Below are 27546 nucleotides of genomic sequence, written 5' to 3' on the forward strand. Positions count from 1 at the left end.
ATTATGTATCACTTGGCTGACCATCTGGTGCCTTCCAAAGGCTGCCAAAACTGCTGCAAGCCAGGCTGAGGCTTGAAGAACCCCTGAATTCCTGCATCTAGAAGGATGCAGGTGTCTCTTGTCTAGGACATTTCAAGGAAATGTCTTCTCCCTATTTCCCTGCTCCCGACCAGTTTATACAGATTACAGGGAATCCGTAGGATCTGGAGGCTGAGAGAAAGGTGCAAAAAGGTAGAGTGACAAAAATGGACTTTTAAAAACTGTTCCATCAGGTATTCTTTGGTTACAAGTAAAAGAAAGGTATCCTAACCCAACTTAAAAGGGGATGATGAGCCAGGCGCAGTGATGCATGCCTGTAATCCCAACACTTTGAGAGGCCAAGGAGGGTGGATCACTTGAGTCCAGGAGTTGGAGACCAGCCCTGGCAACATAGCGAGACCCCAACTCCAAAAATAATTAAAAATTAGTCAAGCATCGTGGCACATGCCTGTAGCCCCAGCTACTCCGGAGGCTGCGGTAGGAGGATTAATTGAGCCTGGGAGGTTGAGGTTGCACTGAGCCATGCTTACACCACTGCACTCCAGCCTGGGCAACAGAGCAAGACCTTGTCTCAAAAAATAAATAAAAATTAATTAATTAAAAGGGGATGATCAGAAATCCAGAGGGGAAGATCACAGATCCCAAGTAGAGGTCACAGATGTCAAAGTTGTCAGACCACTACTCTCTCCACCTTTCTCTGGGATTGTACAGTTGCTGCATCTGTTGACACATCCAGGCTATGGCTTATCTCTGATGACTGGATTTCCTCATTTATGAGCATGCATACATCAAAAAAAATGGCTGCCACTCCTCACACTACCTGACTCTCCAGCTCTGGTGTCCTCCACTGAGCTAGTTACTCAAAGTCGAAGTCTCTGGGTTCAAATTAGCAAGCAAAAGAATTGGATTGGTGCTCGTATAAATGCACATATACTAAAATTGGACCAATACAGAGAAGATAAGCATAGTCACTACGCAAGGATGACACCCAGATTTGTGAGTCATCCCATGTTAAGGGGGGGAAAAGCATCTGAATGGATTAGGTGTTCTCTGATCCCATCAGCTGTGGCTAGGGAGACAAGGTCTAATGGTAAGTAGCATAGCTGCCCCTGCCAAGGACTCTGTGGCAGGGAAGATTTTCTGAGATGGGGAAGTGGGTAGGAAGAAGACAATTAGTATCTCAAATTCCTAGACACCAAATAGGCTGAAATGGACTTTCTAAGTTGGACTTTTTCAGTCTCTATCTCTCAAGTTGGAGGTTCAGGCTCTGGAGGGAAGAAGGGTCAGATCATATCAGCTAATTTTCCTTATTCCAAAAAAGGCAGGATTTGTGTGTGGCACATATAGTTTGGTTTATTAAAAATTTGAGTGGTCTGGCCAGGTACAGTGGCTCACGTCTGTAATCCTAGCACTTTGGGAGGCCAAGGCAGGTGGATCATTTGAGGTCAGGAGTTCAAGACCAGCCTGGCCAATATGGAGAAACCCCATCTCTACTAAAAATACAAAAATTAGTTGGGTGTAGTGGCGGGCACCTGTAATCCCAGCTACTCGGGAGGCTGAGGCAGGATAATCACTTGAACCTGGGAGGCGGAGGTTGCGGGGAGCACAGATTGTTGCCACTGCACTTCAGCCTGGGCAACAAAGAGAGACTCTGTCTCAAAAAAATAAATAAATAACCAACTAAAACCTATGTCCAGATAACAGAATAGCTTTTGTTCTTCAGCTCCACATAAAAATATCACTATAGCCGGGCACAGTGACTCATGCCTGTAATCCCAACACTTTGGGAGGCCAAGGGGGCGGATCACCTGAGGTTGGGAGTTCTAGACCAGCCTGACCAATATGAATAAAGCCCGTCTCTACTAAAAATACAAAATTAGCTGGGCGTGGTGGTGCATGCCTATAATCCCAGCTACTCGGGAGGTTGAGGCAGGAGAATCGCTTGAACCTGGGGAGGTGGAGATTGTGGAGAGCCGAGATTGTGCCATTGCACTCCAGCCTGGGCAACAAGTGAAACTCTGTCTCAAAAAAAAAGTTATATATATATAGATGGTATATATATATAATATGGTATATATATATAGATGGTATATATATATATGGTATATATATAGGTGGTATATATATAGATGGTATATATATATAGATGGTATATATATATACAGATGGCATATATATATATACAGATGGCATATATATAGATGGTATATATATAGATGGTGTGTATATATATATATAGATGGTATATATATATAGATGGTGTGTATATATATATATATAGATGGTATATATATATAGATGGTATATATATACATATATATCACTATAGATTGATTGATTGAATTAGAGACAGGGTCTCGCTCTGTCACCCAGGCTGGAATGCAGTAGACTGATCATAGCTTACTATAGCCTAGAACTTCTGAACTCAAGCTGTCCTTCCCCCTCAGCTTCCCAAGTAGCTGGGACTACAGGCGCTTGCCACCAGGCCCCAATAACTTATTATTTTTTTTTCTTTTTGGTAGAGACATGGTTTTGCTATGTTGCCCAGGCTGGTCTCAAACTCCTGGACTCGAGTGATCCTCCCATCTTGGCCTCCCAACGTGCTGGGATTACAACTGTGAGCCACCATGCCCAGACCACATAAAAATATCCCTAGAGGAGTGCGTCCCAGCCCCGCGCCTGCCAGGCCGTCTGTTTCGTCCCATCCCATCCTGCCGCAGCGCGCGCCAGCCATGAGCTCCACGCAGTTCAACAAGGACCCCTCGTACGGGCTGTCAGCCGAGATCAAGAACCGGCTCCTGTGCAAATATGACCCCCAGAAGGAGGTAGAGCTCCGCAGCTGGATCGAGGGACTCACCAGCCTCTCCATCGGCCCCGACTTCCAGAAGGGCCTGAAGGACGGGATTAGTTTATGGACACTCATGAACAAGCTACAGCCGGGCTCAGTCCTCAAGATCAACCGTTCCATGCAGAACTGGCACCAACTAGAAAACCTCTCCAATTTCATCAAGGCCATGGTCAGCTACGGCATGAACACCGTGGACCTGTTCGATGCCAACGACCTGTTTGAGAGTGGGAACATGACGCAGCTGCAGGTGTCTCTTCTCGCCCTGGTGAGTAAGGCCAGGACTAAGGGGCTGCAGAGCGGGGTGGACATCGGCCTTAAGTACTCGGAGAAGCAGGAGCCGAACTTCGACGACGCCACCATGAAGGCTGGCCAGTGCACCATCGGGCTGCAGATGGGCACCAACAAATGCACCAGCCAGTCGGGCATGACCGCGTACAGCACAAGGAGGCATCTCTACGACCCCAAGAACCACATCCTGCCCCCCATGGACAACTTAACCATCAGCCTCCAGATGGGTACAAACAAGTGTGCCAGCCAGGTGGGCATGACGGCTCCGGGACCCGGTTGACACCAAGCTGGGAACCGACAAGTGTGACAACTCCTCCATGTCGCTGCAGATGGGCTACACGCAGGGCGCCAAGCAAAGCGGCCAGGTCTTTGGCCTGGGCCGGCAGATACATGACCCCAAGTTCTGCCCAGAAGGCACAGTGGCCGACAGGGCTCCCTCGGGCGCGCAGGCTCGGGGGAGGTCCCTGAATATCCCCCTTACTACCAGGAGGAGGCTGGCTACTGAGGCTCCCAGCACGCTCTCTCCCCATATCATCTCCCCGTCTGAGTTTCTGGGTTTTTCTGTGTTTTCATCTTTTTTTTTCTTAACCTGTTCAGTGCTGCCAATCAACCCAGGGTCTGTGAGTGGCGGTGTGGGATCAGGGAGGTCTTTCTTCCCCCTTGCCTTGGTCCTTCGCAGGACTGAGCCACCAGGCTGTGGGGTAAGGGGTCAAAGCCGTATCCCCATACGTGTAGGGTAAAGGTCCCTGCTGGCACGTCCAGGCTGTGGGCCGAGCAGTGCTGGGGAGAAGAGACCTGGGCTTGGAGGGACCCAGTCCCCGAAGGTTTCCGGTTCCCTTGTCTCTTCCCCATTGTGTCAGCCAATCAGTTTGTGGTTTCTGTACCCGCAAAAGTTTCAGGAAGTATTAACAAAAGAAAAATACTTTTTTTTTTCCCCGAGGAATGGGGCGGGGACAGTGGAGAGGGTGCTGGGAAATGAGTGCCCTGGGAAAGGGGGCCTGGCCACAATGCTAAATATCTCAGGCTCCCAAGTGGCTGCATTTCCCTAGAACCAACAGACCTCAGACCCTCAGACCTGCCCTGGGGCCCGGTGAGGAAAGTGAGGCCCGTAGAAGGAAGTGGAATTCTGCGTTGTTGGGGCTAAGCCTGACTCCTTCTCCATGCTAACCACCCCCTCCACTGTGGCCTCAGTAGGTTTTGTTGTTGTTGATGTTGTTGTTGTTGTTGCCCAGGCTGGAGTGCAGTGGTGCGATCTTGGCTCACTGCACCTCCACCTCCCTGGCTCAAGTGATTCTCCTGCTTCAGCCTCCCAAGTAGCTGGGACTATAGGTGCTCCACCACGCCTGGCTAATTTTTGTATTTTTATTAGAGATGGGGTTTCACCATGTTGGCCAGGCTGGTCTCAAACTCCCGGCCTCAGGTGATCCGCCCACCTTGGCCTCCCCAAGTGCTGGAATTACAGGCATGAGCCACCATGCCCAGCCCCTCAGTAGGTTTTAAGGAGCCTCCAGCCCTCCTTCTCCCCTTCTGGGCCTGACCAGTTATACTGCTCCGTCTCCCCTGGCCACACGCCCCACCGAGTACTGCACAGGGACCCCCACCCAGGGGCCCTACCCCATGAGATAATGTGAAATACGACTGTGGACCAAACGCAGTAAAACCTCTGTTGGTAAGAAGAAAAAGATATATATATATCCTGAGAAATAATATATTTATACTCATAGTTTATTGTTCCAATTATTCCAGCTTTTATCTTTCTCAAATAAGAAGAGTGCAGAATAAGCCATAAACAGAAGTTAAACAATTCTTTAATATTTTCATTCTATTGCCCTAATTATAATACCATTCTATGTGATTAAAAAAAAACACACACATACTGGGCAAGGTGACTCATGCCTGTAATCCCTGCACTTTGGGAGGCCAAGGTGGGAGGATCACCTGAGGTCAGGAGTTCGCGACCAACCTGCCCAACATGGTGAAACCCCGTCTCTACTAAAAATACAAAAATGAGCCAGGCTTGGTGGCATGTGCCCGTAAGTCCCAGCTATTTGGGAGGCTGAGGTAGTAGAATCCCTTGAACACGGGAGGTGGAGGTTGCAGTGAGCCAAGATCATGCCACTGCACTCCATCCTGGGTGACAGAGCGAGACTCCATCTCAGAAAAAAAACAAAAACAAAACAAAACACCCACCCACACACACACACACACACACACACACACACACACACAGAGAGAGAGAACAATCACATTTTACTTCTGATTTTTAAATTTGTGGTGATCCCTTGCTTTTATTAATTGGCTGGTCGGGTACAGTGGCTCAGGCCTGTAATCTCAGCACTTTGGGAGGTCAAGGCGGGTGGATCACTTGAGGTCAGGAGTTCATGCAACATGGTGAAACCCAGTCTCTACACAAAACACAAAAATTAGCCAGATGGGCTGGGCACGCTGGCTCACTCCTGTAATCCCAGCACTTTGGGAGGCCAAGGTGGGCGGATCACGAGGTCAGGAGATCGAGACCATCCTGGCTAACATGGTGAAACCTTGTCTCTACTATAAACACAAAAAATTAGCCGGGCGTAGTGGCGGGCGCCTGTAGTCCCAGCTACTCGGGAGGCTGAGGCAGGAGAATGGCATGAACCCGGGAGGCAGAGCTTGCAGTGAGCCGAGATCATGCCACTGCACTCCAGCCTGGGTGACAGAGTGAGACTCCGTCTCAAAAAAAAAAAAAAAAATTAGCCAGATGTAGTGGCGTGTGCCTGTGGTCCCAGCTACTCAGGAGGCTGAGGTGGGAGGATCACTTGAACCCAGGAGGCAGAGGTTGCACTGAGCCGAGATCATGCCACTGCACTCCAGCCTGGGCAACAGAGTGAGACTCCATCTCAAAAAATAAAATAATAAAATAAAATACGATAAAATAGGCCAGGCACGGTGGCTCATGCCTGTAATCCCAGCACTTTGGGGGGCCAAAGTGGATGGATCACCTGAGGTGAGGAGCTCGAGACCAGCCTGGCCAACATAGTGAAACCCCATCTTTACTAAAAATACAAAAACTAACCAGGCGTGGTGGTACATGCCTGTGATCCCAGCTACTCAGGAGGCTGAGGCAGGAGAATTGCTTGAACCTGGGAGGCTGAGGTTGCAGTGAGCCAAGATTGCGCCACTGCACTCCAGCCACTTGCTCTTGCAACAGAGCAAGACTCCATCACACACACAAAAAAAAGATTAAATAAAACAAAATGAAAAATAAAGTAATAATTTTTACTCAAAATGTTAAAGGTGTTGCTCCATTGTCTTTAATCTTCCAATGTTGCTGTTGAGAAGTTCAATGCATTCTGATTCTTTGTTCTTTGATTGTGACCTATTAAAGATTTAAAATCTTTTTTTTTTTTTTTTTCGAGATGGAGTCTCACTTTGTTACCCCGGCTGGAGTGCAGTAGCGTGATCTTGGCTCACTGCAACCTCCACCTCCCAGGTTCAAGTGATTCTCCCAGGAGTAGCTGAGACTACAGGCAGGTGCCACCATACTTCGCTAATTTTTTTATTATATTGTAGAGATAGAGTCTCATTATGTTGCCCAGTCTCCAATTTTTAAAAAATCTCAGCAATCCTAGCTTTAATTTCCTAGCATTCTTTTTTGTTCTCTGAATTCTCCTTATTCATAGTATTCTGGTTTTGTGTGATTGTTCTGTTTTTTTTTTTTTTTTAATGGATAGAGTGCTTTCTCTTATTTGTATGGGGTATAATGATGGTCTTTTATCCTTGGAAGTTTCCTTCTACTTCCTGCATTATTTCTGTTTCCTCTGGTTTCCTTTTTTGCCTATTTACTTATTTTTTTTTTTTTTGAGACAGAGTTTTGCTTTGTTGCCCAGATTGGAGTGCAGTGTTGAGATCTGAGCTCACTGCAACCTCTACCTCCTGGGTTCAAGCAATTCTTATGCCTCAGCCTCCCAAGTAGCTGGGATTACCAGCTCGCATCACCACGCCTGGCTAATTTTTGTATTTTTAGTAGAGATGGTGAGGTTTCACCAAGTTGGCCAGCCTGGTCTTGAACACCTGGCCTCAAGTGATCTGCCTGCCTCGGCCTCCCAAACTGCTCGGATTACAGGCGTGAGCCACTGCACTCGGCCTATTTACTTTGATTTATCTTTCTCTCTCTTTAATGTTGAAGGCTCTCCTCAAATATCTGACATTAGTATTTAAGCTTGAAGCATTACAAACTGATTGCAGACTCTTGGCTTGTGGACTTGTGGTCCTCACGATAGGAAAACCAAGTTCAGTTTTTTGTTTGTTTGTTTTTGTTTGTTTTTGTTTGTTTGTTTTTAGACATAGTCTCACTCTGTCACCCAGGCTGGAGTGCAGTGGCGTGATCTCGGCTCACTGCAAGCTCTGCCTCCCGTGTTCACGCCATTCTCCTGCCTCAGCCTCCCAAGTAGCTGGGACTACAGGCACCCACCACCACGCCCGGCTAATTTTTTTGTATTTTTAGTAGAGACGGGGTTTCACTATGTTAGCCAGGATGATCTCGATCTCCTGATCTCGTGATCCGCCCGCCTCGGCCTCCCAAAGTGCTGGGATTACAGGCATGAGCCACCACGCCTGGCCCCCAAGTTCGTTTTTTTAAGTTGGAATGAGTCTCGATTGTAGATACATGTCTTTTACTTAGGGCTACTTCACTTCTACAAAGTAGAAGCTTCCTAACTCTGGGAAACATAAACCTGATTCTGCTTGCTTTTTTTTTTTTTTTTTAGACAGAGTCTCGCTCTGTCTCCCAGGCAGGAGTGAAGAGGCACAATCTCAGCTCATTACAACCTCCACCTCCTGGGCTCAAGCAATTCTCCTGTCTCAGCCTCCTGAGTATCTGGGATCACAGGCGTCTGCCACCACACCTGGCTAATTTTTGTATTTTTAGTAGAGACGGGGTTTCACCATATTGGCCAGGCTGGTCTTGAACGCCTGACCTCAGGTGATCCATCCGCCTCGGCCTTCCAAAGTGCTGGGATTACAGGCATGAGCCACCGCGCCCGGCCTGATTCTGCTTTCTATAATTACACATTAGACTTTGAGAAGGTAGGGTGTGTAGGGCTGATTTCTCCAAGAATTTATAAATTACATATTCTAAAGAACTTATTTCCCATAACACTTGACTTAAAAACTTACCATGAAACAAATGGCATCACCTGGAGCTTAAGAAGTTCATTGAAGGCCTGGTGAGAGACAATAGCCAAGAACAAATAAAGAGGGCAGAAGTCCAGGAATGTATTTCACATAGCCAACCAAAAAAACATGAAGGCCAAAAACAAAGCAAAACCAGTTACCACTAATCTTTTTTTTTTTGAGACGGAGTTTCGCTCTTGTTGCCCAGGCTGGAGTGCAATGGTGTGATCTCTGCTCACTGCAACCTTTGCCTCCTGGGTTCAAGTGATTCTCCTGCCTCAGCCCCCCAAGTAGGTGGGATTACAGGTGTGCGCCACCATGTCCAGCTAATTTTGTATTTTTATTAGAGACGGGCCAGGCTGGTCTTGAACTCCTGATCTCAGGTGATCCGCCCGCCTTGGCCTCCCAAAGTGCTGGGATTACAGATGTGAGCCACCACACCCAGCCTGAGTTACCACTAATTTTAAGAAGATAAACATTATAAATGACAAAAAAATTAAGAGTAAATAAAGCTTTTGTAAATATACAAAAGGAACCTGCACACTTCTCAAAAGTCCTTTTTAAAAAAATCTCTGCAGGAAGAACTAATTCCTCAGTGCATCATTAAAGTGAACCAGTTAATGTTGATGAAGCTACAAATAATGGCTCAGTTGTAATACAGTGGTGAAGCATCTAATTCCCCCAAAAGACCAATAAATTATAAATGTTTTATACAAAAAAATCTTACTATGAGCAGTAAACTCAGTAATTGAATTTGTATAAATATTTGTCCTCAGAAAACATGGGCTTTTAAATTTCAATCTGACAGATGTTTTGAGATAGTGATTGGTGGAACCCCAATCATGGGGTCGGACCCCAACAATAGTGATTAATGGGACCCCTTAACTTTCTAACTTTGTCTACCAGTGGCCTAGAAAGACTAGGGAAGTGTTGGGAGTTTCTGTGACTTCATTTTGTAAACTCTGACTAGCATCACCCCTAGACACAGCAAGAGGGGCCCCTGCCCTTAACCTGGCTTGTCACAAATAAATGCCAAAATGCGTTTATAAAATAACACACAGATACCTTTGTTACTTGGAATCCAGCATACAGGCTGGCATTGTATGACTTACAAACTTAAACATCCACTCCTGGAAATAACACCTATTAGACCCCAGGGAAACACTTCACATCACTTGCTCTATGTCTACAAAACAAAAGGCAACCGAATACAAATGCCATAAAGCTTTATGGTTTCTGCAGCTGTTGAAGTAGGAGAAAGACCTTGCTTTGGAATGTGGGGAGGATTCCAAACAGCAGAAACAGATAAAAGACAAAATAATTAGCTTGTCAAATAAGTTCTTCCTCTCAGTGTGAATGCAATAGCTTTTGGCTTAATAGAGTATCTTTTCCTAGTGTCAAGCATTTTCTTGCTTTTCTTAGGACACCAGAGATGCCCACAAATTAGGATGAAATTTCAGATGGGTAGCTGAGGAACATTTTGCAAAACTGAGCAATTTTATATTATTCTTAAATGTTTGTATAGATGTAACAAAGTATGATACTGATTCTTCACATTTGTAGCAAAAGGGACATGGAATGTTAAAATTGCAGATAGTTTTTTTTGTTTGTTTATTTTCTTGAGTCTCACTCTGTCACCCAGTCTGAAGCACAGTGGCGTGATCTTGGCTCACTGCAACCTCCACCTCCCAGGTTCAAGCAATTCTCCTGCCTCAGCCTCCCGAGTAGCTCGGATTATAGGCGTGTGCCACCATGCCTGGCTAATTTTTGGATTTTTTAGCAGACACAGGGTTTCACCATGTTGGCCAGTCTGGTCTTGAACTCCTGACCTCAGGTGATCTATCCACCTCAGCCTCCCAAAGTGCTGGGATCACAGGCGTGAGCCACTGAGCCTGGCCCAAATTGCAGATAGTTTAATTCTATTAAAATGTTTAATAAGCTTTCATTAAATTTTCTTTTTTTCTTTCTTTCTTTTTTTTTGTTTGAGATAGAGTCTCACTCTGTTGCCCAGGCTAGAGTGCAGTGGTGCAATCTCGGCTCACTGCAACCTCTACCTCCTGGGTTCAAACAATTCCTCTGCCTCAGCCTCCTGAATAGCTGGGATTACAGGTTCCTGCCACCATGCCCAGCTAATTTTTGAATTTTCAGTAGAGATGAGGTTTCACCATGTTGGCCAGGCTGGTCTCGAACTCCTGACCTCAGGTGATCTGCCCGCCTCGGCCTCCCAAAGTGCTGGGATTACAGGTGTGACCCACCATGCCTGGCCTTCATTAAATTTTCAAAAAATTAAATTAAAAAACTTCAGCCTTATCTACATAATTTTAATTTTAAGTTTTATTAATTTTAGTTCATTTATTGATTGTTTTAAAGTTTTAATAGATAATCAAGGTTACAGGAAATACAGCTTTTGGAAATATCTGAAAATAATTTCCTGATTATTTTACAATTTCCATAAAATAATGGAAATGTAATATAAAATGGAAATGTAAAGGTTTTTTAACATGCACCTTAATTCATATTTTATACACTGTAGGGATCAAAAGAGGGCTTTCCCCTTGGCCCTCTGAAGGTTCACTGAAAATCACTGTCATGAGGCAGTTTAATGGAAGAGCAGGCATACAAATTTATTTAACAAGTACACAACGAGCACAAGAGGAAAATCACAAGTCATCGCCCACCCCCATTGTGATTCAGAAGCTTACAGACCACGCTAGCAAAACAGGTTGTGGAAGTAGGGAAAATAATTCTATTACTAGGGAGAATGAATGGATTAGGGAACAGGGATTAAACTGTACATGATCCTGTGAAAAGCTATGTTCAGGTGTAGTTACATTCCTGGCCTTCCAGGGAGGAGAAAAAAATTAATTTTTTTTGATGGTCTGGATCTTAGGAAGATAAAGGAACTCCTGTTTTTCAGAGGGTGGGGGAAGGGAGGGGTGTAAGTCAGAGAGACTTTGAGACTTCCTCAGTTCACCAAGCCATATATGGTGGTATCGGTTTCTGAGCTCCAACAACACTTTCTTTTTTTTTTTTTGAGACAGAGTTTCACTCTTGTTGCCCAGGCTGGAGTGCAATGGCGCAATCTTGGCTCACTGCAACCTCCGCCTCCCCGGTTCAAGCTAGTCTCCTGCCTCAGCCTCCCGAGTAGCTGGGATTACATGCGCCCAACATCGTGCCCAGCTAATTTTTTGTATTTTTAGTAGAGACGGGGTTTCACCGTGTTAGCCAGGATGGTCTCGATCTCCTGACCTCGTGATCCACCCGCCTCGGCCTCCCAAAGTGCTGGGATTACAGGCGTGAGCCACCGGGCCTGGCCCAACAACACTTTCTAAACAATTACTTTTTCTTTTCTTTTTTTCTTTTTTTTTTTAGAGACTCTCTCGCTCTCTTGCCTAGGCTGGAGTACAGTGGCTCAATCATAGCTCACTGTAACCTCAAATTCCTGGGTTCCGAGCAATCCTCCTGCCTCAGCTTCCCAAATAGCTGGGACTACAAGCATGAGCCACTGTGCTAGCCCAATTAGTTTTTTAATCATTTAAATAACAGAATAAGTATAGTTGAGATTATAACATAAAAAGTAAATACAGGCCAGGTGTGGTGGCTCACACCTGTAATCCCAGCACTTTGGGAGGCTGAGAGGGGGGATCACTTGAGGTCAGGAGTTAGAGACCAGCCTGGTCAACATGGCAAAACCCCATCTCTACTAAAAATACAAAAATTAGCCAGGCATGTTGGCAGGTGCCTGCAGTCCCAGCTACTCCAGAAGCTGAAGCTCCAGAATCGCTTGAACCAGGGAAGTGGAGGTTGCAGTGAGCCAAGATCGTGCTACTGCACTCCAGCCTGGGCAACAGAGTGAGACTCTCACTCAAAACAAAACAAAACAAAAAAGTAAATACGAAAGCAGAATTCAAAAGCAGTTAAAAAAATTTCAAAAGAAAAAATAAATTTAAAAACATTCATAGAGGCTGTCTGGTTAAATATTTTAAAACTGAAATAATGAAAGTGTTCATGAACCACATAAAATCTGCAAACAGCACATTACAAATTCTTTGTTTACTGAATATTTAATTACTGATGAAAATGAGTAATTACTAATGGAAAATTACATTGGCATATTTTGCTAGGACAATGGTCAACCACATTGCTTATAAATGGCCTTGTCCATTTCCATTAAGTTCATTGTTCATCTTTTCTTATTTATTTATTGTTTGTAGAGATGGGTCTGGCTACGTTGACCAGGCTGGTCTGGAACTCCTGGCCTCAAGTCACCCTCCTGCCTCCGCCTTCCAAACTGCTGGAGTTACAGGTGTGAGCCACCACACCTGGCCTGTATTTTCTTATTTATTTTATTATTATTATTATTATTTTTGAGACAGAGTCTCACCCTGTCACCCAGGCTGGAGTACAGTGGTGCGATCTCGGCTCACTGCAAGTTCTGCCTCCCGGGTTCATGCCATTCTTCTGCCTCAGCCTCCCAAGTAGCGGGGACTACAGGCGCTCACCACCACACCTGGCTAATTTTTTTGTATTTTTATTAGAGACAGGGTTTCAACCTTTTTAGCTAGAGTGGTCTTGATCTCCTGACCTCATGATCTGCCTGCCTTGGACTCCAAACGTGCTGGGATTACAGGCGTGAGCCACCGGGCCCGGACGTCTTTTCTTATTTTTAATCTTATATCTGCTGTTAAATATTTAATTCATCCTGGGAAACATTATCACTAAATGTGTTATATTCTGAGCCTTTTATTCTCTCTTATTAGTTTCACTTCCTTCTGTTACTTGTCTTTCACCTATGTCTGATAAACTGAAATACAGTACTGAACATTGAGGAGAGTCTTATCAAATAAAATTATATTTTCACTTCTGGTATATCTCCTCTATCCATATTAGTTACACCAAAGAAGACAAACAGCTTTTGGGACAGATTATACATAGTTACTTTTGTTTCACAGTTAAACTTAAATTAATGTAATTCAAGGCCAGGCGCGGTGGCTCACACCTGTAATCCCAGCACTTTGGGAGGCCAAGGTGGACAGATCACCTGAGGTCAGGAGTTCAAGACCAGCCTGACCAACATGGAGAAACCCTGACTCTACTAAAAAAAAAATACAAAATTAGCCAGGTGTGGTGGCGTATGCCTGCAATCCCAGCTACTCGGGAGGCTGAAGCAGCAGAATCGCTTGAACCCGGGAGGCGGAGGTTGTGGTGAGCCAGATTGCGCCATTGCACTCCAGCCTGGGCAATAAGAGCGAAACTCGTTCTCAAAAAAAAAAAAAAATTTAATGTAATTCAATGTAATCTGAGGCATTACAGTGTTGTTTCTTTCTTCATTACTTTAGCTTCTTTTTTTTTGAGACGGAGTCTCTCTCTGTAGCCCAGGCTGGAGTACAGTGGCGCTATCTCGGCTCACTGCAAGCTCCGCCTCCCGGGGTCCCGCCATTCTCCTGCCTCAGCCTCCCAAGTAGCTGGGACTACAGGAGCCCGCCACCGCGCCCGGCTAATTTTTTTGTATTTTTTAGTAGAGACGGGGTTTCACCGTGTTAGCCAGGATGATCTCGATCTCCTGACCTCGTGATCCGCCCGCCTCGGCCTCCCAAAGTGCTGGGATTACAGGCGTGAGCCACCGCGCCCAGCCCATTACTTTAGCTTCTATTTCTTCTGTATTTTGCAGTAACAGTACTGTATCTTTACATGATGTTTTACAGTTTCTTTTTTTTTTTTTCTTTTTTGGACACAGAGTTTCACTCTTGTTGCCCAGGCTGGAGTGCAATGGTGTGATCTCAGCTCACCCCAACCTCCGCCTACCAGATTCAAGCTATTCTCCTGCCTCAGCCTCCCGAGAAGCTGGGATTATAGGCGTGCTCCACCACGCTCGGCTGACTTTGTATTTTTAGCAGAGACGGGGGTTCTCCTTTTTGTTCAGGCTGGTCTCAAACTCCCGACCTCAGGTGATCCACCAGTCTTGGCCTCCCAAAGTGCTGGGATTACAGGCGTGAGCCACCACACCTGGCCTACAGTTTCTAAAACATTTTTCTCACTTATAATCTCTGAAGTCCCACAACAGCCTTGGGCAGTAAAACTTGCATTGACATTAGAGAAAATCATGTTTTCTTTTTCTTTCTTCTTTTTTAAATAGAGATGGGGGGTCTCGCTATGTTACCCAGGCTGGTCTTGAACTCCTGGGCTTAAAGCAATCCTCCCGCCTCAGCCTCCCAAAGGGATGGGATTACAGGCATTAGCCACTGTGCCTGGCCAAGAAAACCATGTTTTTAACACCATCAATGTGACAGATTTGTGAAACCAGAGGCATGCTGGTAAACGTTTAACAACCGGTAAGTGTTTAACAATCACCCAGCTGAGGGTATGGAGAACCCTGATTGTAGTTTGCCAATTTCACTGATGTAAATGCTCACAACATGGCTGCTTTCAAACCACCACTGTGATGTCAACTGACTCCCCAAATTTCTGAGAGTGTAACGATTAGTTCTCAGAAACAGTAGGAAGCCAGTTCCAGCACACTACTTGGTCACTTTAAATTGAATCTAAGGCCAGGTGTGGTGGCTCACACTTGTAATGCCAGCACTCTGGGAGGTTGAGGTGGGCAGATCATCAGTCCAGGAGTTCAAGACCAGCCTGGGGAACATGGTGAAATCTGGTCGCTACTAAAAATACAAAAATTAGCCAGGCATGGTGGCACTTGCCTGTAGTCCCAGCTACGTGGGAGGCTGAGGTGGGAGGATCACTTGAGCCCGGGGAAGTTGAGGCAACAGTGAGTTAAGATGGAGCCACTGCACCCCAGCCTGGGTGACAGAGTGAGACCCTGCCTCAAAACAAAAACAATAACAAAACAAAAACAACAAAAAAAGTTTCCATATCTTGTTTTTATAAGGAAAGTGGTTTTTGTTCCTTTCTTTTTTTCCTCTTCTTCCAGGCTAGACTGTGGACAGATTAAGCCAGCTTCAATAATGAGAATAAAGACTTTACTCTATGGTCAAAATGGGTTAGAAGGAACCTGGTTCCCTGAATGATCTCATGGAACAGAGCTGCCTACTCACCCTAGACTACCTGTCTACCTCTGTACTGTTATGTGAGAGAGAAATAAACCTTAATCTTTGAGTTATTGTATTTGGGGATCTCTTTGCTATAGTAGCTTAGTGACTTCTCAGAAGAGGCAACATTTAAGCTAAGATCTAAATGACAAGAATGAATAAGCCATACCAAGAGGGAGAGAAAGAGCATTTCAGATAAATGAAAATGACCTAAAGGGAGACAGGTCAGTACGGATGGAGTACAGAAAGTGAATGGTAGAGATGAGGTTGGAGGATAATTAATTCAGGACCAAATCAAATAAGGGTTTGAAGGCCAGGGTAAGAAATTTTGATTTCAATTGTAATGGGAAACCCCTGGAGAATTTTAATAAGTGTCATAATTGGGCTTATTTTTTAAAAACATCATTCCATCTTGGGCTATGGAGACATTTAAAAAATTAAAACAAAAAAAATCACTCTAGCTGCTCTGTGTTAAACCAAGTGAGGTGGCAAAGTGAAGACAAACACTACTATAGTTAGAAAGCTACTGCAATAGTTCAGGGGAGCTAATTTTGTGCTCTGAACTAGGGTGGTGGTAGAAATGAAGACAGAGAGAACAAATTCTTGAAATGTTTTAGAAATATCAACAAGGCTAATGATGAGTTGGATGTAGGACAATGCAGGAAAGAGTGGAATCATTGATGATTTTGAGTTTAAGCAACTGCTGTATAACGAGGTGATTTGTTGTGTAAAGGGTGGACCATAAAGAGGTAAGAAGAGATAAGAGTGGAGACAAAGAGGTCAGTGGAAAGCTTGAGTTGAAGACAGCTGAGTTTTTGTAATTTGTTTTGCTTTTGTGGGGAGGAGGCAGATTTTGCTGTGAAAAGTAACAGCTCTTTTCTAATAATGTTAGCTTCTATATGCTTGTTAGGCATTCAAGTAGTCAGGCAAGTGTCTCAAAGGTTTGAAATTCAAGGGAGATGTCTGGGTTGGAGATATAAATTTGAAAGTCATTAATACTATGGGCAGGTCATAAAGCCATGGACTGGATGAGGTAGGTCACCTAGGGAGAAAATGTATGTAGAAAAGAGGACACAGGCATAGCCAAGAGCACTGCAGCATTGGGAAGAAAATTTCCAAGGAAAACCAAAAAAGAGAGATGTCACGAAAGCCTGGAGACTTTTTTCTAGAAGGAAGGCATAGTTAATTGTGTCAGAAGCCATTGAAAGATTGAGTAAATGGGGATTGAGACCATTCACTGGTCTCAATGGCTTTGGCAACCACTGGCTTTGGCAAAAAGTGGGCCTTGAGAATTGCCATTTCAGTCAAGTGCTAGGAATAAATACCCATTTGGAGAATTTGAAGGAGAGATGAGGAGGTAGGGACCACACATATAGACATGTCTTTACATCTTTTAGGGAGTTTTGCTGTTAAGGGAAGCAGAGAAATTCGGTGATAACTGAAGGTAGAAGTGGGGTCAAGTAAGGATTTTTTTAAAATTTGAGTAAGATCTTAATAGGAATGATTACTAAAGAGAATAAAGGGAAGATGTACAATCAGAGGTATCTTAAGAAGGCCTAGTGAATGGGAGTCCTTTAAGTGTTTTATGTGCAAAGTGCTATAGCCAATGAGGCATTTTTAAAAAACTGGAAATCTGGGGGAAAGATGGTCACTCTTGATAGAAATGGGGCTGAGAAGGGAAATCATTTTAGAAATAATGGTAAATGTATTTTGGACATATTGAGTTCAGGAAAATATTTAAGCAAAGATTAACCAACTTAGTACAAGGGATTTTTATTTTTATTATTTCTATGATCTGAAGAGAAACCAGAGTATACAAGGAATTTTGAGCTTCAAGATAACAAGAAAAATGATATATTTTACAAAGGACCAATCCAGTTGGTAGACTATTTAAATTATCCTATATCAAATTAATAAGGATTTACTTTGCCAAGATTCTTGGCACTTTTATATTAACTTAAATTGCACTGGGAAAAAAGCATAATAGTAGTTGAGAAGCAACTAATTATAAGCAATTATAAGCCAAATTATGTTTATACCACAATTAGTGTTTGAGGTGGTTTAGTAGGCAGATTCTTCAGTAAGAACCATCAAATAATTGAACAGCTTGTAAAACACAGAAATACTTCTTTTATCTTTATTCCAAGTAGAGTAACCACATTCTTTTATCATTATAAAATAAGCAACATTTATTATCTTTTGTCCCAATCCGCAGTTTGAGTTGGATGCTTATAAAACATGGCAAGAGGGCTGGGTGCGGTGGCCTCCCAGCACTTTGGGAGGCCGAAGTGGGCAGATCACCTGAGGTCAGGAGTTCAAGACAAGCCTGGCAAACATGGTGAAACCTCGTCTCTACTAAAATACAAAAATTGGCCGGGTGTGTTGGCATGCACCTGTAATCCCAGCTACTCGGGAGGCTAAGGCAGGAGAATCGCTTGAACCCAGGAGGCAGAGGTTGCAGTGAGCCGAGATCACGCCACTGAACTCCAGCCTGGGCAACAGAGCGAGACTCCGTCTCAGACAAACAAAACAAAGCAAGAGTAGTTTATGTACCTAGCTCACAACATAGCTTCTTTCAACAGGTTTCACGGAGACACGTGAACCACGTTCTTGTAAGACAAGAGCTATTCTACAGGGTATCTAGAGTGCAAACCCAAACCATGTCTTTTTCAGTGGATTTTTCATGTTGACATCATCTTATTTCACTTTGGGGAAAGTTTTTTTCTAAGGATGATAGCGAAAAGTCCTTTTGTCTTGTGACAATAGCAATTTTTATGTCAGCTTGGGTTTTTTTCCTCCCATATTCCCAAGTAAAAGTAATAACTTTGTTACCAGTTTTGCCATCTGAGGTTAAACTGTTTGACCATGGCTTGACGACTATTTTATACTTAACACTTATAAAATATTAGACTGATAGTTATTTAAGTTACCACCAGTGATAGCTCTGGAATCCCTGTTTTATTAATTTCCAGGTAAATCCTTCTTAAGCACATGGGAAGATAGCACTGTAAATTTTGGGGGGTAAGGAGAACCTCCATCAATTAATACATCAGCTTGATAAAATTCAAAGAAAAACATGATCAAATAAGTTCAGATTATATTTAACACATTCAGTTTCTAGAAGTAGTTTTGCTGAATAAATTCCCACCAGTTGAGCTAATGGAGCAACGGAGCTGCCAGTGCTTCCCGGAGGCTGCTGTGCTCAGCCAATTCGGAGGCATGGCGAGCCACACGGTGGGAGGTGGGTAAAGCCGGGGCCCTCCAAGGCTGGGCGCCACGTTGCTTTTCTCTTCTGAAATAGGAAGACAATGCTTCTGGCTATTGTATAAACCAGCCGAGGACTGCTTTCATTCGCACATCAGCCAAGGCGTGAGCAGAATTAAAGCGCCTTCTAATTCGACCCCTGGCAACGTGCGCGTCACGGACAAATGTTTAGTTTTAACGCCTGGCTGCGTTCGCCTTGGGAAAACACACTTTTAAGAATGGCCAAGTACCTCAGCAGTCGCGGTGAACTGCACAAGATCAAAACCACCACGCCAACCCAGCGCTGGCCACCGTCCCCGCTGAACCCCGCCAACACCCCTAAGGACCCACCCATGTTTTCTGCTAATCATTTTTTTTTTCTAAACAGCTCTGCACAGCCTTTCCTCATTCCGTTCCCGCTCTCCCCACCCACTCTGCGTTCGATCCGAGGTTTCTAGTCCCCAGCTGGACATCACAGCACCAACTCCCACTCAGGAGCCGGCCAGAGCCCGAGCCGCAGCGCAGTGGGCAGCTCCCCGCGCTCTCCGCCAGGCCCTCGGCCAGCCAGCCGCCACTCGGCCGCGAGTGATTGACAGGCGGCAGCAGCTATAGGCCGTGGAGGTGGGACGATGCGTCACTTCCTGGTCTTTTGGGGGGAGCCGGGATATATAAGGGCGGTGCTCACGCAGCGCTCTCGCTTACACAGTATGGCCGGCGACATTAGCTAGCGCTCGCTCTACTCTCTCTAACGGGAAAGCAGCGGAATACAAGAGACTGAACTGTATCTGCCTCTATTTCCAAAAGACTCACGTTCAACTTTCGCTCACACAAAGCCGGGAAAATTTTATTAGTCCTTTTTTTAAAAAAAGTTAATATAAAATTATAGCAAAAAAAAAAAGGAACCTGAACTTTAGTAACACAGCTGGAACAATCCGCAGCGGCGGCGGCAGCGGCGGGAGAAGAGGTTTAATTTAGTTGATTTTCTGTGGTTGTTGGTTGTTCGCTAGTCTCACGGTGATGGAAGCTGCACATTTTTTCGAAGGGACCGAGAAGCTGCTGGAGGTTTGGTTCTCCCGGCAGCAGCCCGACGCAAACCAAGGATCTGGGGATCTTCGCACTATCCCAAGGTGGGTCCCCGGGGCGCTCGCTGACATCCGGGCCTGGGGGCTGTCGCCGCCGCCGAGGCACCAGCCACGGGTGGAGCCCGAGTTCCCTCAGCTTTCAGTTGGGGGCAAGTCTGCGGCCTGGGGTCGCTTCGGCGGCCTTGGAAGGTGCGCGGTTTGGGGGAGAGCGGCCATGTCCACGCGGGCCGGAGCCGGCTTCTCCCGCCGTGGTTGCCGCGCCTGGCATTGCCCTGGGGGAGGGGAGGAGGCCGGCGCGGCCGCGTGCTCAGGTAACGTCCCGCGCTGGGCGGCGGGCGGCGCGGCCCGGGGTGGTTTTGCGGCCCGCGCCTCCCGACATTTCCCTCCGTAGTAGTTGGCGGCAGGGGCCCCAGGTGGGGGTCGGGGGCGCCTGCGCGGGTTGCCTCCGGCAGGTGTGGCTCGGCGGGCTTAGTCAGGCGCTAATTCGGGCGTGCCGGCTTCGGGGAATGGAGGGCGGGAGCGGCGCTTGTTCTTGCCTCGGGCGCGGATAGGAGGGGCCCTCCCGGCCTTGTCTGAGGGGCTGGCGAAGAGGCCTCCCACCCGCGGCGGCCGCGGGCAGCATGTGGCGTTCGGGCGGCGGGGATTGGGCGGGAGCAGTTATGTCGCAGTGGCGGGGCCCCACCGCTCCCCTAACATGCTCTGCGCCAGAGCCTTTTCGGGGCGGCTGGGCAGACGGCGCAGTCCCCGGGGCCGCCCTCGACACGGCCGCTGAGGCCGCTGGGGGCTGCTCCCCAATCTCTTGACCTTGGGTTGTGTAACCTGCTACGGAGCCGGCGGAGCGGGGCGGGAGAGGTGCGGGTGGAGGGAGGCCCGCCTGCCCCAGGACATAATGCCTCTAATGCCTTAAGCTTGAGCAAAGGAATCTGGGGCCCACTCCCACTGCGGGCCGTCACGCGAGAGATACTTGGGCTGACCGCGCCGAAGAGGCGTTTTAGTTGGTATTGCTGTGGAAATCCATGCTTATATAAAAGCCCAGAGATCCCGTGGATGCTTAGGCCTTGTTCCTGGCGGCGGTCGCACCGGTGGCCACCAATGGCCTTCCTAGGCCCTGCCACCGGATCCCTGGCTCCTCTGCGCACGAGTGCGGCTAGGGTGGCGGTGCAGCGGAGTAACTGGCGTGGCCAGCTTCATTGAGAGGCGGCGACCAATGGGCTCCTGGGCCGCACTCAGAGCCTGGCCCCAGGGTGTGGACCAATGGGCGTTTTAGGAGTGTTAGCTGTTCTTGGAGCTGTCCCTTGACAAAAAGCAACTGGAAAAGGGAATCCAGGCAGACACGTGCTACCGAGACTTTAAGGCACGACGGGAAACCCGGTTTCTAGCAGTGTATCTTGAACGATTCCATTGTAGAAAAAAATACTAGTCATAGCTAAAATGTCACACGTCTCATTTTTTTCAAGCTTCGTGTGACACTTAAAATGTCTATAGCGCTTACTACGTGCCAGGCTCACGTGAGATTATAGGAAGCGGACTTTGGTCATGGAGAAGCTTAGTATTTCCTTCATTTCACAGATGAGAAAGATGGTATTTGTGATAGACGTTTGGTAAAACGATTGTGATCAGGATAATTAACCTAGAAAATCTTGGCAAGAACCTAGAAAATCTTGGGTAAGAACAGTCCTAGAAAACGAATAACAGAAGTTGTCACTTTGGCTTTTTAAATGTTTGAGCCCTTAAATAATAGTAAGTACATGTTCTTAATAAAGGGAAGAAGATTTTGTTCTCCCCAAGTTCTTGGCGGTTTGGCTGTTTAGAGCTTCCTGAGTCAAAGTGGAGAGAGGAGGAAGAGGCTTTTTACAAAGCAGCCTGCTTTCTTTAAATGTTTAAGAACCCTTTTTACTTTGTACTTTAATCAGCCCAAATTGTTTTACTGCTCCAGTGTGGCTTTTAAAATCATGGCCAAAGTTAAACTTTGAAGGACAAAATATTCCCTTGTGTAGATGATTTAGTGCCATCCATTTTGTGGACATGTAACATTCATTGAACAACTATTGGTAGTACACTGCCACATTGTAACTGTTGTAGATAAAGCAAGTTAAGCAAGAACTGAAAAATATGTTGATTTAACTAAGGTCCCGTGATAACCTTCGTTGGAACATTTTTCAGTGACCACTCAAGTGGTTAGGTTATTTACCAGGATGTTTAAAAAAGCCTGAAATAGTAGGTGTTCCTTGAATCACCTAAAATCAACAGCCTAGCAAAGAGAGTATCATGGACGGAGTCCGGTCGGTGGGGACATGGGGCCAGCCCCAGAGACCCCAGGGAAGGATAATCGGTCATCTAGAAGAATAAAGCGTGACATGTTTTACTCAAATGACGTGATTAAGTGCATAGCCTCTGGAATAACAAGATTTGAATTCAAACAGCATTTAATAGCTGTGTGAGCTGTTTCCTCATCTGTAAAATGGAGACAATAATGGTACATAGCTCATGGAAGTTGTGAAGAATAAATAAGTTAATATGTTATATGTAGTACGTAAACTGTTATCTTTAACACTTTAAAGACAGGATCCCTCTATAGCCCAGGCTGGAGTGCAGTGGCAGGATCATGGCTCACTGCAGCCTTGACCTCCTGGGCTCTATTAAGATGTGAATAAACTAAAAGTAGGTTAAAAGATGAACAGATGGAATTAAACAAATCTGTTTATAAAGCATAATAAACATAGGGACATAAAAACGATTAAGAGAATGAAAGGCTTAAATGTCCAAAGAGAGCATTAGTATTGATGCTAAAGACAAGGATAACAAGATAAGGATATGAGGGAGAAAAAAATCCTGGAAAAATAGCTTTCCAAAACTAATGCAAGAAGAAATGGAGAACCCAAAACAGTCCTAGAACACCTAAATAACTTGAATCAGTCAATCATCTAGGCCCAGATGATTTCACTGGAGTGTTCTGTATAATTCAAGGGAGAAAATATCCAACTTTTTTCACGCATTCTTCTGGGAAACAACATACTTCCCTCGGTTTTCTCATCCCAAAGTCTGAAATATTTTTTTCTCCTACACGATATTTACCTTTCATATTTAGATCTGCAATCCATCTGGAATTGATTTTGTGTGTGGTGTGAGGGAATACACTTTAAACAAACTTGGCTCATCAGTCCAAGCTTTAATGCTTGGAATCTTTTCTGAATGTACACCTTTTTACTAAACACTGCTTCCCTCTTGTAGACCATTTAAGATATTTTATCTTAAGTGAACAAATTATGTAATACTGAGAAATTTAACAAAGAAAAATCTTTTATGATATAGCTTGGGTTAAACAATACTGTTGGAGAAAAGCAGCAGTCCAGGTATATCCAGATGAATAAAGGACAATTAAGGGAGAGGCGGTTTCTTAGGGGTAACCTGCAGTTTTCTCTGATTTTTCAGATTTTACGGATGTTGAATAAAAATCAGTGACCATTTAAAAAATGGTTTAGTTGTTGGATCAAAGTGCTGTAACAAACAAAAGCTTTTTATAAGACATGGCAGCTTTAGGGAGGGTGAGAGTAGTAAGAAGGAAATCTGTTAGAAAATAGAAAATTTTGCTGAGAAAAGAATGATTTTTCAGGACTGGAAATCCTATTACTGTGCTTTACTCAGATTTTATAAACTAAAACATAATTTTTAGTAAAGGATTGGGGCAGTTGTAAAGATAGTCATACCTCAGCTTAACTTTCCCCAAACTCATGACTTATTTGACTACATCATTATGCAGCATTATTGCAATATCAATAATTTACATTGAAGGAATTTACAACCCGTTGCCAAAAAACCTTTTAGTGTAATGTTTCAGAGTAGAAATGCTTCCTGCTAAAGAATAAAGCTTCTCGTTACATTCCTCCCAGCAGTTTCAAAAAGGTTTCATGGCTGGGCTTGGTGGCTCATGTCTAATCCCAGCACTCTGAGAGACCAAGGAGTTTGAGAGCCCAGTCTGGGCAACATAGTGAAATCCTGACTCTACAAAAAAAATTGAAAAATTATCTGTGCGTGCTGGTCCATCCTGGTGCGTGTCTGCATCCCAGCCACTCGGGAAGCTGAGGTGGGAGGATTTTTTTGAGCCATTGGGGGATCGAGGCTGCAGCGAAATGAGATTGCACCAGTGCGCTCCATCTGGTGGCAGAGTGAAACCCTCTCAACAACAACGAAAATATTTCAACTGTTGTTTACAAACCATGTATCTTTAAGAAGCACATGTTGAAAGTAGCAGAAAACTGAGAGGAGTATCCCGATTTGGGGTAAAAATTTGAGATAGAGAAACAATAATGTGATGATAATAGGTTCATATCTTTGAACAAAAGGGAGGAGGCTTATTTCTCAGGTTATCTGAATTCACTGCCGCAGGAAGGCACCCTCAGAATCTAACTTCTGGTCAGTCTAGCTTTACTCAAGAATGATCTGGTTTTAGGATGCCTTTTACCTAAAGACTGCTTACTACCTGGGGTAGAGGCACCCTGATGAATGTACTGTAATGAGAGCCTCTAAAACAGACCTAAAAATATGAGGTAAGAGCAGAATTGAGAAGCTGCAGTGACTTTGGATAAATTACCTGAACTCTGAAACCAGCTGGTTTTACATTAGGAAGTAATGAGTAATCTAATGACCTGGAAGCTTTTCAAATAAAAATTTGCAGGCATCATCCTCAGAAAGTGTCTGACCTAACTGGGTATGGGAATAGCATCTATGTATTGAGTTTTCAGGTGATTAGAGCATAACCCTGCACTAATGGGATCCTTCTGTATTTAAGTTCTTGGTCTTTTTTTTTTTTGGACAGTCTCAGTCACCCAGGTTCGAGTGCAGTGGTGCCATCTCAGCTCACTGCAACCTCCGCCTCCCAGGTTCAAATGATTCTCCTGCCTCAGCCTCCCTAATAGTGGGTACTACAGGTATGCACCACGATGCCTGGCTAATTTTTGTATTTTTAGTAAAAGACAGGGTTTCGCCATGTTGGCTAGGCTGGTCTTGAACTCCTGACTTCAAGTGATTGAGCCATCGCCCCTGGTCCCTTTGTCCATTTTTTAATCACTTTTTGTTGAGTTGTGTGTAGGTGTGTCTTTTGCTTTGGATATTGACCCCTTATGAGGTGACTTGCAAGTATTTTATTCTGTAGGTTGTCTTTTCACTCGTTTCTTTTGATGTATAGAAATGTTTACATTTTAGGTTTTCAAGTTCCATTTGTCTGTTTTTGATTTTATTGTATGTCATATCCAAGAAATCATTGCCAAATGTAATGCCCTGAAGCATTTACCCTATGTATTCTTCTAGGAGTTTTATTCGCTGTTAATGTTTAGGTTGTTGATCCATTTTGAGTTAATTTTTGTTTATGATGTAAGGTAAAAGTCCAACTTAATTTTGTTTGCATGTGGACATCCATTTTTTCCCAGCACTATTTGTGGAAGCGATGTTTTTCCCTGTTATGTAGGCTTGGGACTCTTGTTCAAGATAGTTGAGCTCAGTCATTTACTTCTTTTTTTGAGACACGCTTGTCTTGCTCTGTCTCCCAGGCTGAAGTGCAGTGGTGTGATTTTTGGTGCACTGTAGCCTCCGCCTCCTGGGTTCAAGTGATTCTCCTGCCTCAGCCTCACGAGTAGCTGGGACTACAAGCCTGCGCCACCACACCTGGCTAATTTTGGTATTTTTACTAGAGGCGGGTTTCGCTATGTTGGTCAGGCTGGTCTTGAACTCCTGACCTCAAGTGATCCGCCTGCCTCGGGCTCCCAAAATGCATTTAATCAGGCGACATAGAGAAGTCTTGTTATAATATAATTATCTTGTCCCTGTAGACATTTCTAAATTCTATTTTTATTAGACCTCAGCCTCTAAGAAAATGTTTTAAATATAAAATGTGGCATGCCACTAAAGTGTTGTTTTTCAGACATACAATTTGTGTGCTGTTATTAATATAGAACATCTATTTTTCTTTGGGATCATTTATCATGATCTCTGATTATATTTAATATTTTAGTATCTAGTCTTTAAGTGAAATTAGGGTATCTCAACCTCAGCATTCTTGACATTTTGATTCAGATAATTCACTGTTGTCAATGACTATCCTGTTAATTATACCGTGTGTAGCAGTGTCCCTGGCCTCTATCCACTGCATGCTGGCAACACCACCACCACCCCAGTTGTGATAAAAAATGTCTCCAAATGTTGCCACATGTCTTCTGGGTGGCAAAATTACTACAAGTTGAGAACCACTGAGTTAGATCAGAGAGGTGGCATTTAAGATGAGAAAAAGGAATTCAAATCAGGAAATACTCAATCTACATATTTCTTTGTGTTTTATAACCACCTAAGAATTGTGTGCTTCGGGCCAGGCATGGTGGTGCATGCCTGTAATCCCAAATCCCAGCACTTTGGGAGGCCGAGGCGGGTGGATTGCTTGAGGTCAGGAGTTCGAGACCAGCCTGGCCAGCATGGTGAAACACCTTCTCTACTAAAAATACAAAAAAAAAATTAGCCTGACATGGTGGCAGATGCCTGTAATCAGTCCCAACTACTCGGGAGGCTGGGGCAGGAGACTTGCTTGAACCTGGGAGGCGGAGTTTGCAGTGAGCTGATAGCATACCACTGCACTCCAGCCTAGGTGACAGAACAAGACTGCATCTCAAAAAAAAAAAAAATTGTGTGCTTGAATAGCTTTATAATAATTTCTAATGACTAGATCAGTATTACGTGAGCTGTAATGTGAACAAATCCCAAAATCATCTTGCTATCTTGCTTCTCTTGATTCTGCTTTATATCCATCAATTTGATTTATTGACTCTTTAAATAGCAAGGATTGCCAAATAGATCAGTTTTATAAATAGTTTATAATAGACTAGTGCTTCAAAGTCTCAGTTTGTAGTGTACTTGGGAGTGAAGCAGAGACAAGACCACTATCACTACTGAGCCTGATAAAACATTCTAGCTTAATACTATCTTTTCTATTTTTGACACACAGTCTCACTCTGTCGCCCAGGCTGGTGTGCAGTGGCACGATCTTGGCTCACTGCAACCTAATTTTAAAAATGGCTCTGTCGACTGTATAAAGCACTTTGTCTTTTCCATCATTAATTTGATCAGAAAGCAGACCACTGAAAACCTTTCCTCCAAAACAAGAGTCAGCAAACTTTCTGTAAAGGACTAGGGAGTAAATTTTAAATTTTGCAAGGCAGACAGTCTGTTGCAATTACTCAGCTCTGCCCTTATAGGGAGAAAATAACCATAGTCAATGTATAAATGAATGGGTGTGGCTAGGTTCCAGTAGAGCTTTATTTACAAAAGCAGGCCATTTTTTCCCACAGAAATGTGATAGAAATAATTTGTGCTGAAATTTTCAGCTGTTGCAGAGTTTTTCACCTCTTTTATGTACATGTATAGCATTGTATTGACTACTTTTTTCTTTCGTCTATTTTGCCCTCTGATTTATTTTTCTTGAGCTTAGTAGCTCTGGTAAATGCCTTTATCATCACTAGGTTGATAGACAGTTTAACTGTTTGTCCTAGGTTGCTTAAAGTAATTGCTTTCTTTTGATACTATGATTGAAAAATTCTGATTACCGGAGCATTACTATTAGTTGAGGAAAGGTTTGAATGGAGAATTTTATTAACTGATGATGAGTGAGTATAAGAGCATTTTGAAGCCAATGGGTTGGCACGTGCCTATAATCCTAGCACTTTGGGAAGCTGAGATGGGAGGATCTCATTAGCCCAGGAGTTTGAGACCAACCTGGGCAACATAGGGAGACCTCATCTCTACAAAACAATTAAAAATATATTAGTAAGGTGTAGTGATACATGCCCTGTGGTCCCAGCTA

At 44.5% G+C, this 27546-nt stretch overlaps 1 protein-coding gene and 3 pseudogenes across 9 annotated transcripts in view, besides 7 other annotated features; all 4 read left to right on the forward strand.

The window, feature by feature from the left end:
- Nucleotides 1-27546, forward strand: part of AMD1 (adenosylmethionine decarboxylase 1) — an 81097-nt gene that overhangs the window by 40851 nt on the left and 12700 nt on the right. For 6 of the 9 annotated variants that reach the window (NR_171681.1, NR_109768.2, NM_001393406.1 and 3 more), the window contains exon 1: nucleotides 19318-19748. The exons of 1 other annotated variant lie outside the window; for it this stretch is intronic. Coding sequence is in view for 3 of the 8 variants with exons in the window: in NM_001634.6 (NP_001625.2) it covers nucleotides 19639-19748 (110 nt within the window). In the remaining 5 variants the exon portion in view is untranslated. Of the gene's footprint in view, nucleotides 1-19316; nucleotides 19749-27546 lie in introns of those variants that run through there. 2 more of the 9 variants (NM_001287214.1, NM_001287216.1) reach the window with 1 other exon arrangement.
- On the forward strand, nucleotides 950-1055 carry RNU6-1115P (RNA, U6 small nuclear 1115, pseudogene; annotated as a pseudogene).
- CNN2P9 (calponin 2 pseudogene 9) lies at nucleotides 2737-3977 on the forward strand (annotated as a pseudogene).
- On the forward strand, nucleotides 8393-8984 carry RBISP4 (RBIS pseudogene 4; annotated as a pseudogene).
- Nucleotides 10939-11233: a silencer, noted in NCBI's record as "tiled region #678; HepG2 Repressive non-DNase unmatched - State 2:TssF". NCBI's record gives its function as "represses a minimal TATA promoter and a strong SV40 promoter by Sharpr-MPRA in HepG2 cells {active_cell/tissue: HepG2}" and the evidence as "EXISTENCE:reporter gene assay evidence [ECO:0000049][PMID:27701403]".
- Nucleotides 19740-20455: an enhancer, noted in NCBI's record as "H3K27ac hESC enhancer chr6:111196410-111197125 (GRCh37/hg19 assembly coordinates)". NCBI's record gives its function as "activates a minimal SCP1, AML or CMV promoter by ChIP-STARR-seq in naive H9 embryonic stem cells {active_cell/tissue: H9 hESC(naive)}" and the evidence as "EXISTENCE:reporter gene assay evidence [ECO:0000049][PMID:30033119]".
- Nucleotides 19740-20492: a biological region, named in NCBI's record as "H3K27ac hESC enhancer GRCh37_chr6:111196410-111197125".
- Nucleotides 19893-20142: a silencer, noted in NCBI's record as "silent region_17469". NCBI's record gives its function as "represses an Ori minimal core promoter by ATAC-STARR-seq in GM12878 lymphoblastoid cells {active_cell/tissue: GM12878}" and the evidence as "EXISTENCE:reporter gene assay evidence [ECO:0000049][PMID:35858748]".
- Nucleotides 20203-20272: a silencer, noted in NCBI's record as "silent region_17470". NCBI's record gives its function as "represses an Ori minimal core promoter by ATAC-STARR-seq in GM12878 lymphoblastoid cells {active_cell/tissue: GM12878}" and the evidence as "EXISTENCE:reporter gene assay evidence [ECO:0000049][PMID:35858748]".
- Nucleotides 20303-20492: a silencer, noted in NCBI's record as "silent region_17471". NCBI's record gives its function as "represses an Ori minimal core promoter by ATAC-STARR-seq in GM12878 lymphoblastoid cells {active_cell/tissue: GM12878}" and the evidence as "EXISTENCE:reporter gene assay evidence [ECO:0000049][PMID:35858748]".
- Nucleotides 20456-21170: an enhancer, noted in NCBI's record as "H3K27ac hESC enhancer chr6:111197126-111197840 (GRCh37/hg19 assembly coordinates)". NCBI's record gives its function as "activates a minimal SCP1, AML or CMV promoter by ChIP-STARR-seq in naive H9 embryonic stem cells {active_cell/tissue: H9 hESC(naive)}" and the evidence as "EXISTENCE:reporter gene assay evidence [ECO:0000049][PMID:30033119]".

This window comes from Homo sapiens, chromosome 6, assembly GCF_000001405.40.
Source record: "Homo sapiens chromosome 6, GRCh38.p14 Primary Assembly".
NCBI lineage: Eukaryota > Metazoa > Chordata > Mammalia > Primates > Hominidae > Homo > Homo sapiens.